Source organism: Homo sapiens, chromosome 3, assembly GCF_000001405.40.
Source record: "Homo sapiens chromosome 3, GRCh38.p14 Primary Assembly".
In the NCBI taxonomy this organism is placed as follows: Eukaryota; Metazoa; Chordata; class Mammalia; order Primates; family Hominidae; genus Homo; species Homo sapiens.
This window is the reverse complement of record NC_000003.12, coordinates 128,904,647-128,917,480: the sequence shown is the minus strand read 5'-3', so window position 1 is coordinate 128,917,480 and position 12,834 is coordinate 128,904,647. Positions and strand designations below refer to the sequence as shown.

Sequence of the window (12,834 nt, the reverse complement as noted above, 5' to 3'; positions counted from 1 at the left end):
CCCTCAGCAGAGAATCTCAGGCACCCAGAAGAACTACGGAACAGTTTGCTTTCCCTGTAATAAGCATTAGGTCAGAATTTCAACTTCAAATTGTAAGAAAGGAGTAGCATGGAAAGAAGAATCTGTCCCCCTAGGTTGTAATTCACGAATTCTAGGATTTGGAAGGAGCAGGGGACTTCTAGGAATGGCTAACTGAGAAACTCAGATCAACTCCCCCACTAAGGACAACTAGAAAAACTGGACACATCAAGAAATATTGATTGAAGTTCCATGTGGGCCATGACAGGATCCTTGCTCTATGTGGCATCCCTAGTATAATCTTCTCGCAGGTGCTCCAAAGTCTGAGGACCTAGACTTGCCTTTACCTTGCATCCCTTGTTGCCTGGACAGTCTGTTCTTTCATGTGTGTGAATCACAAATTTTGTCCTCCCCTGATTATTTTAAATTCTTGTGCATTAATTCCTCAAAGATTCCAAAGTCAAGCCACTGTAGTTGAGCTAAGGTCACCATCTTGTGCTAAAAAATTTTTTAAAGGTAAAAGATGGTATTTTGCTGAAGGTTACTGTGAAATATGCATATGAAACACTGCACAGTGCCCAACAATTTAGAGTGGTAACTTTCCCAGTTCTCCCTTGTTTTGGGTCCCAGCCACCTTTCCCCCCAGCCTTCTGTGTTGTCTTTTATCTCCTTCCACATTTCTATTTTCATTCACAAAGGAAGCCAACAGACCATCTTATTTCTCTCTGTTCAGGGAAGAGTTCCCATTTCCTTACTGGGCCTGCTGGACAGAATGAGGGTCATAATCCTTATGCACACTTGACAGTTAACCATGGTCAAGGATGGCAGTCCTTGCTGCTTTAGGTTGTAATATCCCCTGTCCACACTCTCCTACTTCTGACCATGTGAGACACAAATTCTGTCTTTATCACAAGGTGGTTGGGAGATGAGTGGCCAGATGATGTGTGTTCCAGTTACAGTGACCTTAGGGGTCTCAATTTTTTGGTCCTCTTAAATTCCATTTTGGATAGTGAGAGGTTGGACTAGTTGGCCCTTTGCCCTGGTTCTATGATGAAATAACAGCACCAGTATTGAAGAATCAATCAATACCTGCACCACAGCTAAGTCCCAGAGATCATCTCACTGCATATGAGCTGGCATGGGGGGTGAGGATGACCTGGTGTGGGTAGTGACTGGTGTCTCTTTCTTCAGAAAAATATCACAGAAGCCTACCAGGTCAGCAAGAAGCCTCCGAAGTCCGTGGCGAAGGTGATTAAAATTTCAGCCCCTGCCAACAAGGCCGTCTACAACTATAGTACCCAGACCATGAATTCTACAGAGCTTGCCAAGAAGGAGCTGTATCAAGAGATAGCCAAGGTGAGAGACCCAGACAGGATGATGGCAGTTGGCAAATCCCATGAGTTCTTTATTCTGACCATGCCTGCCTGGAGGTCAGTGGGGGATCTCAACTATACAGATGAAAGCCAATCAGCTAGGGGAAGTAGACAAGGCTCAGATGTTGAGAGGTGTTCTGTTCCACACTAAATGTGAATCCTCCACACCTGAGGGTAAGCCCAAGATCCTCAATGTAAGCTCAGATGTACATAAAGGAGAACAACTGTAGCATCCTTACCTCTGGGGAACACTTTATGATTGCTGCTTATCAAGGCAGCTACCAACAGAAGGGAAAGCCATGGTTTAGGCTTCCAGCACATATTAACTTTAGGAAACGGCTTCTCCCATCAAAGGGGACAATAATATGTCCCTTACAGGGCTACTGCACAGTCATTTCCTCTCAATGCACTATTTACATTGTCAGGAACTATGATTATGCCCCCAGCTGTTTCTGATTCCTACTTGGAAATAAATCCAAGATTGCTATTAGCCCTTCCACCCCAACCTGTCTGCCCCCATTTCTAGGAGCCAAGAAAGAGATTCACGTACTCACAGGATTACCTCTCAGCCATGGTGGAGCCCCTGGACTTGAAGGAAGAGGAGAAGAAAGCCCAGAAGAAATCCCGCCAGGCCTGGCTCACAGCCAGGGGATTCCAAGTGACAGGTCTTCAGAGCGACACCGAAAGCAGCTTTCAGGATCTCAAGCTGCCACCCATCAAAGAGCTGAATGAGGTCCACAGGGAAGAGCAGGGTCTCAGGTGGGGTGTCCATAGGGACCTTTCTCCTCCTGATTTACTTACTCCCCCAATTTAGGAGTGGAAGGAAAACTCCCTGTTTGCTAATGTACTGGAGCCTGTGTTGGATCGAGACAGGTGGAGCTGGGACAGGCACCACGTGGACTTTGATCTGTACAAGAAACCACCACCTTTCCTCGAGCTGCTCCCTTCGCCCGCACCAAAGCCTGTAACAGGTAACAGGCAAGGGTTTGCCAAGCTGGGCCTCCTGATGCCGTGGGCAGGCAGGAGCTCTGTGCCACTCTGCATCTTCAGTGGTATCCATTTTGTTTACACTATCAACCAAACTTTCTATGCTAAGAAAAGCAAGATGCAGAATGGGTCTGAAAAAAGAGATTGAATGCTGGGCTGGAACTCAGACCAGGATTCTAGCCCCAAGTGTGACATTTGTGTGACTTGAGGCAAATCCCTTCATGCCCTGGGTCTGGTTTCTTGGCTATAAAGTGGGGAAGTTGGAAGACAGGTCTAAAGGCTTCCTGAGCTTCAACACTATTACCCATGACTGATCTCTAGGTGTCCAGCCAAGAGCTGGGGGCAGAGGCTCTGGGCTTCACTGGGACCTTCCAGCGGCAAAGATACTGACAGTTCTTTCTTTGGGGTAAGGCAGAGACAGGAAACGTAGGTCTTGCTGTACCAGTCCCTCCAAGTCCTCTTCCTCTTTATCCCTGTTTATGAAAATTGATCTCAGGATCATCTGGAGGTTAACATAGAACCCAAACTTGGTTAACAGAGCCAGAACCTTTGTTCAGGGAGAAAGAGACATGAGCCTATCTAAAAACAAGGTCTGCCAGAGAAACTTCTCCCAGAAAACTAGGTCAGGTGAACGTGATGGCTTCCTCTCCTCCTCGACTCCTAAGGACAACTGATCACAGCTCCATGGAAGTGCTAACAAGTTTGCTGAAATGTCACTTTCTCCATTTGCCTAGACTTGGCTCCCTCCCTCCCCAGTAGGCCCTAGATCTCCCAGGTTGCCTGAAGAGACCTGCTCTCTGTGGGCATGTCCCAGGCCCACAGTTACTGCTGTGGCTCTCAAGGAGGCTCCAGCTAGGAGAGCTGTCTAGCCTAAGAACACAAGGCTTTTCCTTGGTAAGAAGGCTTCCTAGTGAGCTCCACTGCCAGCCTTCCCAGCAAAAGTCTCCTGGGGGTTTCACTGGTGAAATCACTTAAGAAACACTTGCTGGGGTCTCCTCTTCCCACAACATGTTTAAGAAAAGTTAGCAACTACAGATGAGAGGGAGAGGCTTGAACTGGTCGCTAGGCCTTTTCAACCCAGATGGATGAATGGAGAACTTGCCATTCTCCATTGGCATGTAAGACTGAGGCCTTACACGCCACCAGCCTAGAGTGAAGCCCCCTTCCAGAAGGCTGCACAGAAGGGGGGTGGGTCTGACAGCCCCTCCCCAAACTTCTCCTGTGCAAAGAAACTCTAAGCAGCCTTCTGTCCAGAGGTATGCATGCTTCATTTTGTGCAAAATGCTGCCCTGCTATCACTAACAGAACTTCAGGTTTCACTGAGAGGTTATTTACACGGTCACAATATTTACAAACTTTCCCCATTTTAAAAACTAGTTACCAAACCCCTGGCAGAATGCTCAGGCCAGCCCCACTCAGCCAGCTCAGCTCTCCAAGTTCCCAGTCTCCTCCTTGCCTATTTCCAGCATCACAGTAAATTGGGAATATACTTGGAGGAAAAAGAGTCGGCTGCCTTCTCTGTGCTCAAGGGAGTGTCCACAATAGGCATTTTAGAGCTCCAGACCACCCAAGGACCACATCAAAGCTTAAAGTTCACCACAGTGAGCACGCTGGGACCTGGTGTAATCTTTCAAGTGCCAGCAGAAGGGAGGCTGGAGAAATGCAAAGGCCTGCTGGCCTGGAGATACCATTCATCCTCTCCTCAAGAGTAGAAGCCAGTTCTTGTAAAGAAACTAAAGTCCCTAGGTGGGAACATCATCAGCTGAGACAGCCTCCCCATCATCTCCTGAGAAGGATAAAAACTAAGGGCTCATAACCCCAAGGGATTGTGGCCTGCACTGTGTGTCTGCTCCTTAGCATTCTGGGCCCTCCTTGCAGGGTGAGGACAAAGGGGACCCGAGGCCATCACCAAAGGGTGGTTCTCAGGGTCCTGCTGTCACCCATTAAAGGCTGGTTCTAAGGAACAGTGTGACAAGTACAGCAAAGGCTAACAGTACACAGATTGTGACATTTTATATTCTTTGTTAAATGGTTCCTGGTACATGTTTTAAGTGCCTCTGCTTCTAGTTTAAATGAATGACCCAGACAGAGCTTTCAAGCTGTTTCTTAGAGAATGTGTGGTTGAGCAGAAATGGCTATCCACACCTGACACAGGTCCCCACCCACCTCACACCCTGGAGGCAGCAGCATAAGCCCCAGTTTCCACTATGGTGTCTCCTCAATGACCAGAATACCCGCCAGTTCCAGGGGTCAGCAATTCCATTCTCTCTCTCCGGCTCAGTTCAGAAGCTGTGATGGTCCTGTTAGAGAGCACTGCCTGCAGGTCAAAACCTGGAAGAGGCTCTCCCAGGCCAGGCGACAACCCTTCAGGTGCAGACGGGGAACAAAAGGCTTAACCTGTGATAATCCCAACACCTTCTGAAAAAAGAGTAACAGTCATCCAGCAACGGGCCATGGGTAGGGGCGGGCGGTAGCAGGGGACACTGTCCCCTGCCTCAGCATGTCCTGTCCAGAGGGTGGGCACAGATATAGGCTCGCTTCTCAAGGATCTGCTGGGACACTTTCTTAATCTGCTCATCTAGGTTTTCTGGAGCATCTGGGAAGGAAAAGGAGAGATGGTGGGTGATCTTTCTGCACCGTGATAAGACAAACATGGCTGAAGTGGGGGCATTTTTCCACAAAGTCAGCCCACCCACCATGAAGCAGCCCTAAGGGTGAACCCCTCCTCCAGACCCCCAGCAAGTGATTCAGGGCTGCAGGGAGAGAAAGGGGTACAGCTTCATTCTCAGTTACAAAGGACTCATCCTGCTCATCTCTAACCCCCAGATCTCATGGGGTGGAGCCGGCACTTGCTCCGTAAACAGCCCATCTGTGATTCCAGCCCACTGGAGGAGAAACCATTTCAGCACCCTCCACAGCACATAACCTGTCAGCACTGGGGGGGTGTCTGGGCTACCCCCAGGGCTAGGACCTGCAAAAAATCATATGCCACTCTCAGCAAGTGCCACAGTGCTGGCGCCTACACCCATCACTTGGCAACACGACTGGGCTTTGTGGGGACACTGATCCAGAACCTCAGGTCAACAGGACTGTGAGGGTCAGAGGTAGACTGAGCTGGGCATTCCTAGATATGGTCGAGTGGCTATAGAAGAGGAAGAGCACTGCAGACAGAGCGGGGAGCACGAGCAAAGCCCTCTGTTCTCTAGGCCAAGGCCTGAGACCTCTGCAGGGCACTGCAGGGTCATTTTGGATGGAGTACAGTGGGTAAAGGGGCAGGTAAAATGCTGTCTCCAGAATCAGGTACAACCAGATGCTCCTCCCTTCGTGAGCCTTCCCCGGGCAGCTTCAAGAATACAGCCAGGGCTGGGCACAGTGGCTCATGCCTGTAATCCCAGCACTTTGGGAGGCCAAGGTGGGCGGATCACCTGAGGTCAGGGGTTGGAGACCAGCTTGGCCAACATGGTGAAACCCTGTTTGTTTCTACTAAAAATACAAATATTAGCTGGGCATGGTGGTGCGTGCCTATAATCCCAACTACTCAGGAGGCTGAGGCACAGGAGTTGCTTGAACCCAGGAGGTGGAGGTTGCAGTGAGCCAAGATCATGCCACTGCACTCCAGCCAGCCTGGGTGACAAAGTGAGACTATGTCTCCAAAAAAAAGAGAATACAGCCAGGCATGCTGGGCAGATGCCAGGGGTCCTGCGCAAAGGGCTCTGCACTTGCTCAATCTAAAATTGCCTTGGCAGGCCCGGTGCGGTGGCTCATGCCTGTAATCCCAGCATTTTTGGAGGCTGAGGCAGGCAGATCACCTGAGGTCAGGAGTTGGAGACCAGCCTGGCTAACATGGTGAAACCCTGTTTCTACTAAAAATACAAAAAATTAGCCGGGCGTGGTGGCGTGCGCCTGTAATCCCAGCTACTCGGGAGGCTGGGGCAGAAGAATCGCTTGAACCCAAGAGGTGGAGTTTGCAGGGAGCCAAGACTGCGCCATTACACTCCAGCTTGGGCAACAAGAGCGAAACTCCATCTCGAAATAAATACATACATACATACATACACACACACACATATATACATACAACTGCCTTGGTGAATGGGGCAGGTATGCACCTACAGTGCCTGGTGGGCACTGCTGCAGCTAAGCCCAGGCCTACCCAGGCCCTCGCTCAAGGCAGAGGTCTGTGAGTAGCTAGCAGGCTCTGGGAGCTTGACAGGGTCCAGAAACAGCTCACCATCAATAGGGGCCTAGAAGTGGGCCCTTCCTTCCCTCCCCCAAGACATGCCACTCACACTTGTCCAGCTGAGAGAGGCTGAAGAGATTCTGCAAGTAAGCTTCCACGCAGAAGGTGTTGGCCAAGAGAACCTGCCAGAACCGAGGACAGAAAAGATATGCCCAAATTCCTGGAATCAGACCTCTGAGCTTCAAAAACCCAGCCTATCAGCCAAACTGGGTAGCATGGCAGGGGTCACAAGGCCTGGCACAGGAGTCACCCCGTCTTGGGTTCTAATTCCAGCCCTGATCCAACAGCCTTTCCCCAACAGCAAGTGACTCAACATCTCTGACCCTGTTTCCTCTGAAAGGCAGATGTCACAATCCTGGTATCTGCAGGTGCTCTGGAAAGTGCAGGCAGAGATCCTGGTATACAGTGGGTCCTCAGAGACTGCACCCGCCTCCCTCCAGCACAGCGGGCAATGTGCAGGGTCTGTCCCTTGCTGGGGGTAGGGGCACTGGGATCAGGAACCCCTGTCACTCACCCCCTCTTCTCTCAGTCAGGAAGAAGAAAGGGAACAGCCCCATCTCCTGAGCAGCACAGACCCTCCCACGGCCACCGCATGGTGAACCTGCACAGCCTCCCCCACACCCGACCACACCCTCCTCAACAATCAACTTCATTAAAGTGCAGCAGGACAGATGGCAGCAGCCAGGCCCTGTGTGAGGCTGGGCTGGGCTCACCTCGTGGTCGTGGTTGCGGAGCCCAATGCGGATGGAGCGGCTGGCCCGCGACAGCACGGCCGTCATGCCATACAGGTTGATGAGGATGTTGGCCACCCGCTTCAGTACCAGCTGCTCCTCCATGATGGTCTGGGATCACAGAGGCTCCAAGTGGGGACTCACTACCTAGACCAGTCCCCCACATGGTCCCTCCCTGGGCTGCATCTTTGCCTGTCTTAGTCTCCTGTGTTCCTTGAGAAAGTGGAGTCAATAACACCTTTCTCTTCAGGTTGTGGGAGAACGGCTCCCAGCCACCTTCTGTTTTCCCTTCTCTTTGAGCTCTAGATTCAGGGAGGGGTTAAGGCAAGACCAGGTCCCAGAAGCTTGGCTGAGACCAGAAGCCAGTGCTTACTGTGCTACTGCCACCTTCAGCAGCAAGGGCCCCACCAATCAGGTCCCTAGATTCAGGCCCCAGGTGGAGCTGCCCTCCCGATTCTAGGGAGCCTCTCTACCTGAAAGGTGCACAGAAAAACACTGCAGAAAACTCACCCAGCAAGGGTACCCATCCGAGTAGCTAAGTGGGCCCCAGGCTGACAAAGTCAGCCTGACCTCACCACCCCATCCCTCCAGGGTGATCAACATTTCTGTTCTAGGCCTGGTCCCAAAGGATGCTTGACAAAAAGTAGTCTCATGAATGCTGGCCAAATTGGAGGACCGCTTGCGACCCAGGCCTGGGAGGGCCTGGTTACCTTGCCAAAGCGGAGCAGCAGTGTCTCCACGGTCCGGCCGAAGCAGTAGGTGTTCTCCTCAAACTTGTTGGCACTGTCCTATTAACCAAGACAGGACTCAGTTCAGCACCTCATCCCTACAGTGCCCTGTCCTGTCTCACAGCCCGGGTACCAGGCAGAGATGCCCCATCTGGGGGAAGCAATCCAGGGTGTCATGGACTAGCTGGTGTTCCCCAACTTCCCCTGGAGAAGCCCAGACCCCCCACAGTGAGATCTTTTCTGCCACAAGGAGATCTGGCAGGAGGGCATTGAAATAGGGGGTATGCCTGTTAGGCCCACTCACCGCAAGACTGGGGTGCACAACTCCATGGTTGCCTGTCAGCCCCAGGTCCACAGTTCGGCCCAGGGAGTCCCGAAGCCTCCGGCCAACGGTATCCATGACTGTGCTCACTTTGGCCTGTTTAAGCTCACTGCAGAAAGTCCATGGTCCTGTGACTGGAGGCCTCGCTGCTGGCGCTCACTGTCCAGCAACATGGCCCATTCGGCACCCAGAAGCTCCGTGCCCCCCTCTGGCCTGGGTATGCTGGGCCCCTGGCTACAGCCTGAACCCCCCCAAACCCACCACCTGCCAGAGAGCAGCCAGTCTCCTCAGGGGAGCCACACATATGCTCCCCCATGAGGGGTGGAGTCACAGCCAGCTTCCCAGCAGCTGTCTCCTGTGAAGGAGACAAAATGCTACTAGCAACCTGTACTTGGCCTCCAGCAGTGATTTTGGATTACTGTGCCCCTAGGGTGGGGGTGGAGGGGAGCATGAGGGGAAGAAGGGCAGAGAAGAGAAACACTGGCTTATGTTGGCTGTGAGGCCTGGCACCTTTAAAGGGACACCTCTCATTCTTCAGGTTCTGAAAAACCAGCTGCCTCTAGTGTGAGGGACCAGATGGGGGATACGGTATTTATGCTGAAGCTGTAGGGTGCTGTGGCCATAAGGGCAGGGCAGCGAGGGCTTCCCTGGGCAGCAAGCCCCCCACTACCACAGGGGAAGGTCCCCTCCACAAGGCTGCGCCACACCCCCATGCCCCCACTCCAGGTCAAGGCAGCTCTTTCCTCCCACTGCCCTGGACTGGCCCCTGCTGGGCAGGTATGGGACCTGAGAAGCACACGGTGACAATGGCACCTACTGGATCCTGGTAGTCAGGATGCGGCCGGCATGCTGCAGACCCGTCAGGGCGATGTACATCCGGAGAATCTCATTGGTTCCCTGTGGTCAGTAGTGTAGAGGTCAAAGGCTGCCCCCCGGCCAGGCAGCCATGGTAGTGCCACGTGTGCTGGGTAGAGCCGGCCACTGCCTGCTTGCCCATTGCCACAAAAGCCACTGCTCCTGAAGTAGCTGGGAGCAGGGCTCTGGCCAGGGCTCAGGGAGTGCACAGGGATGAGGAGGGAGGTGACCAGATGGCCATGAGCTCCCACTGGGACCCCCCCACCTCTCCGTGACCAGCCTCACGTGTGTCAAGCCTTTCTCCAAGTCTCCAGGTCCTCTGTAAAATGGAAACCAGCTTTCCCCGGGTGGTGAGGGGTGCTGATGCCTGGGGCTCAGCCAGTGCCAGACAGACATTGCTGGCTCCAGGTGGAGGCCAGATTCCTCACGGAAGCCAGAAATTGCTGAGTGGCAGCTAGAACCTCCTCAGTGCCAGGTGTCAACACACCCAGAGGGCCACATGCTCCCCACTCCCCCAACCCATGATTCTGATCAGTGAGAGGCCAGTGGGCTTCTGCCCACTCTGCACAATGGTACTGTGTGTCAGGTGCAGGGGCCTGACCCAGGCTACACAGCCAGCACTAGGGACTGAGGACTGTCCCCTGCAGTCAGGCTGACATCACGGACAGCAGGACTCCCTACAGGAAAAGGGGGGACTGCAGGGGCCTCCTGGCAGGACCACCCAGCTCCGAGCAGGCTCCAGACAGGAGCTCTCACCCTACATCGAGAGCCCTGTGTTCTTCCAAGGCCTTGAGGGCTTCCTGAACCCTGCTGACCACCCCAGCCCTGGAGAACCCCAACCCTCCCAGGCTAAGGGAAGGGCCTTTGGAGAAGACCCTTTGCAGGGCTGAGACCACTCCAGTGCCCTCAGGCTGGCCCTTGCCCCGTATGTCCACTGCAACAGTGGAGATGGCTGGAACCCAATGGGTAGGCCAGGAACAAAAGCAGCCAAGGAGGCCTCCCACTGGGCAGGACGGCCCAGGAGACAAGACTACACTCCCAGAGGCTGATGATGCCTCTCATCACCAGACCTGCTGCTCAGGCCCAAACCCTCTCCCTGTCTCAGGCCTGCCTCCTGTATACCCATGCCCACCATCATATCCCACTCATCCTGCTGTGCTCTCTTAGGTCCAGCCCCTCCCTCCCAGCAGGAGAGCCCCTGGTCTCCGGCCTCATCCCTGCAACTCACTCTCCACATGAGCCCCGTCCACATGTCCAGCACTTGCTGAGCCCCTGGGGGCATTTCCCACAACACAGATACAACCAAATAATGCCCTGCTTAAAGACGTTTTGTGGCTTCCAAATTCCTCTGCTGTCAATCAAGGTCCTCCACAGTCTGGCTACTTTTTTAGCCTTCCCATATACCTTCTTCAACACCCCCAAACCCACTGCCTGCCCCAGCCCACCTAGCAGGGCTGACTGCTGCTCCCAGAAAGCCCTTCACTCTCTCTTCATTCACCTTGTGCCAGCAGATCAGTCCCATCTGGGCCTGGCGCGCTCTATTACCCTGCCCTTAGGGACAAACTGCCCTCCACCCGGCCCTGGTTGAAGCCCTTTCTTTCTGCCCCTAGGGGCCAGGAGCGCATGCTTCACAAAACTCTGGCTGCCTCTGGAGGATGCCCGCTCCCTGCCTCTTTACACTCTGTCATCTCCCTTGGTCGGCCCTGCTGCACAATCAGAACACAGCATCCGAAGTCATCTCTGTGGCCCCAGTTCCCTCCCCTGCCACCTGGCACATGCTAACTGAACTGACTCCTCAGGCTTGTGACTTCATGGAGGGCAGCAGTCGGGAAGGAGACGTGCCAGGGCTAGGAGAGCCCCTGAGAGCATGCGACCCAGCCCTGGGCTGCGGGGGCCTCTGCGAGGCCCTGAGCAGCATCTTTAGGACCAGGCAGGGTGGGGGTGGAGCACAGCTTAGCTGGTGGCGGGGCCACTCACCTCGAAGATGAGGAGGATGCGGGTGTCACGCAGTATGCGCTCGTACGGATAGTCCCTTGTGTAGCCCAAGCCCCCGAGGATCTGCAGCGCCTCACTCACACACTGCCAGGCGGCCTCGGAGCTGAACACCTGTGGGGTGTCACACTGAATCCTTTCCAAAAGGAGGACCTACGCTGCAGGGAGCTGGGTGGCTGGGGAGGCATGGGAGGCACACGGGCTTGGGGAGGAGATCGGCCAGGGAGGAACTTGAGGGGTGATGTGGTCAAGTCCTTTGCCTTCCGTGACCACACTGGCCAGCTTGTGTTCCCTACCCCACCATGACCTTCTGTACCTCTGGGCCTGCCTTCACCCTATCTGCACCTGGCTGAGCTCCTGTTCCTTTAAAACCCACCTAAGATCTCCCCTTCCCGAGAAAACCTGACCTGTTCCTGCCAAGCCCCAGCGGCCGTGATTTCTTTCTGTCTGTGCACACTATAAGTGCCTTGGGGGCAAACATACTGCCATGTTTAGCCCTAGGCTTAGCATCTGGAAGAGGCTGGCCTACAGCAAACTAATGTCTGTGGTCACTGTTCAAGGGTGACAAGAAAACGAGATGATAAAACACATGCAAATGCACCCAGTACACAGACTGCACCTAGAAAAGACTCAAACACGGTCCAAGATGCCCAGCCTTTTTGTTTTTAATTTTTTATTTTTTTAGGGACCTTGCCACTTCAGGATCCCAACCTTTTAGGTAGACTCTCCTGCCGACACCAGGATGTTTGCTTCTGTAAGCTGCCATACCTCTCACTATTTCTCTCAAGAGCTCAATTCCAGAGACCAGCTTAAAAACAATTGTGGGGGGCACAAAGTAGGGTCCCCCCAAGTGTGGCCATCTTTTTTATTACAGCTAAAAAATGACACCCTCCACCCTCAACAAAACAAAAGCAAATTCTAGTATCTACCTTAACCAAATAAGATGCTCTTCCCACCTCAGCCTCCCAGGTAGCAGGGACTATAGGCGTGTGCCACCATGCCAGCTAATTTTTGTATTTTTTGTAGAGATGGGGTTTCGCCATGTTGCCCAGGCTCATACATGTTTTTTGTTTTTTGTTTTTTTTTGAGATGGAGTTTTGCTCTTGTTGCCTAGGCTGGTGTGCAATGGCACAACCTCGGCTCACTGCAACCTCCGCCCCCACCGGGTTCAAGTGATTCTCTTGCCTCAGCTTCCCAAGTAGCTGGGGTTACAGGTGCCCGCCACTATGCCCGGCTAATTTTTTGTGTTTTTAGTAGAGATGGGGTTTTACCATGTTGGCCAGGCTGGTCTCGAACTCCAGACCTCAGGTGATCCATCCACCTCGGCCCCCCAAAGTGCTGGGATTACAGGTGTGAGCCACCGCGCCCTGCCATATGCTTAGTTTTTAAGATAAAGTTTTGATACCAGAAAGTAGGAAGGCCATAAACTAAGGAAAAAAGAAGTCTTTCTCACACAAGCCAGATGCAATGTTATTACTCTAAAAGGATATTATCATAACGGTCTCCTTCTGCTATAAACTACTGATCCACTGGCCCACTGGACACTTCCCTACTGCTGCTCCCCGCTGCCTGCCTATCCCTGGAGTGC

General features: G+C 53.1%; 2 protein-coding genes across 13 annotated transcripts in view; one reads left to right on the top strand and one right to left on the bottom strand.

Annotated features, from left to right (window-relative positions):
* Positions 1-7,608, top strand: part of CFAP92 (cilia and flagella associated protein 92 (putative)) — a 116,876-nt gene extending 109,268 nt beyond the window's left edge. For 5 of the 9 annotated variants that reach the window (XM_017006945.2, XM_011513050.3, NM_001348521.2 and 2 more), the window contains 4 exons: positions 1,210-1,374; positions 1,918-2,124; positions 2,206-2,362; positions 7,148-7,608. In XM_017006945.2, coding sequence (XP_016862434.1) covers positions 1,210-1,374; positions 1,918-2,124; positions 2,206-2,362; positions 7,148-7,182 — 564 coding nt within the window. In that variant the 3' untranslated portion in view covers positions 7,183-7,608. Of the gene's footprint in view, positions 1-1,209; positions 1,375-1,917; positions 4,359-7,147 lie in introns of those variants that run through there. The other 4 variants (XM_047448638.1, XM_047448639.1, XM_047448637.1 and 1 more) reach the window with 4 other exon arrangements.
* ACAD9 (acyl-CoA dehydrogenase family member 9) overlaps positions 4,367-12,834 on the bottom strand; it is a 33,495-nt gene continuing 25,027 nt past the window's right edge. For all 4 annotated transcript variants that reach the window (NR_033426.2, NM_014049.5, NM_001410805.1 and 1 more), the window contains 7 exons: positions 11,232-11,360; positions 9,217-9,296; positions 8,382-8,508; positions 8,060-8,137; positions 7,332-7,460; positions 6,668-6,740; positions 4,367-4,974 (listed from right to left, as the gene is read on the bottom strand). Coding sequence is in view for 3 of the 4 variants with exons in the window: in NM_014049.5 (NP_054768.2) it covers positions 4,874-4,974; positions 6,668-6,740; positions 7,332-7,460; positions 8,060-8,137; positions 8,382-8,508; positions 9,217-9,296; positions 11,232-11,360 (717 nt within the window). In the remaining variant the exon portion in view is untranslated. The remainder of the gene's footprint in view (positions 4,975-6,667; positions 6,741-7,331; positions 7,461-8,059; positions 8,138-8,381; positions 8,509-9,216; positions 9,297-11,231; positions 11,361-12,834) is intronic.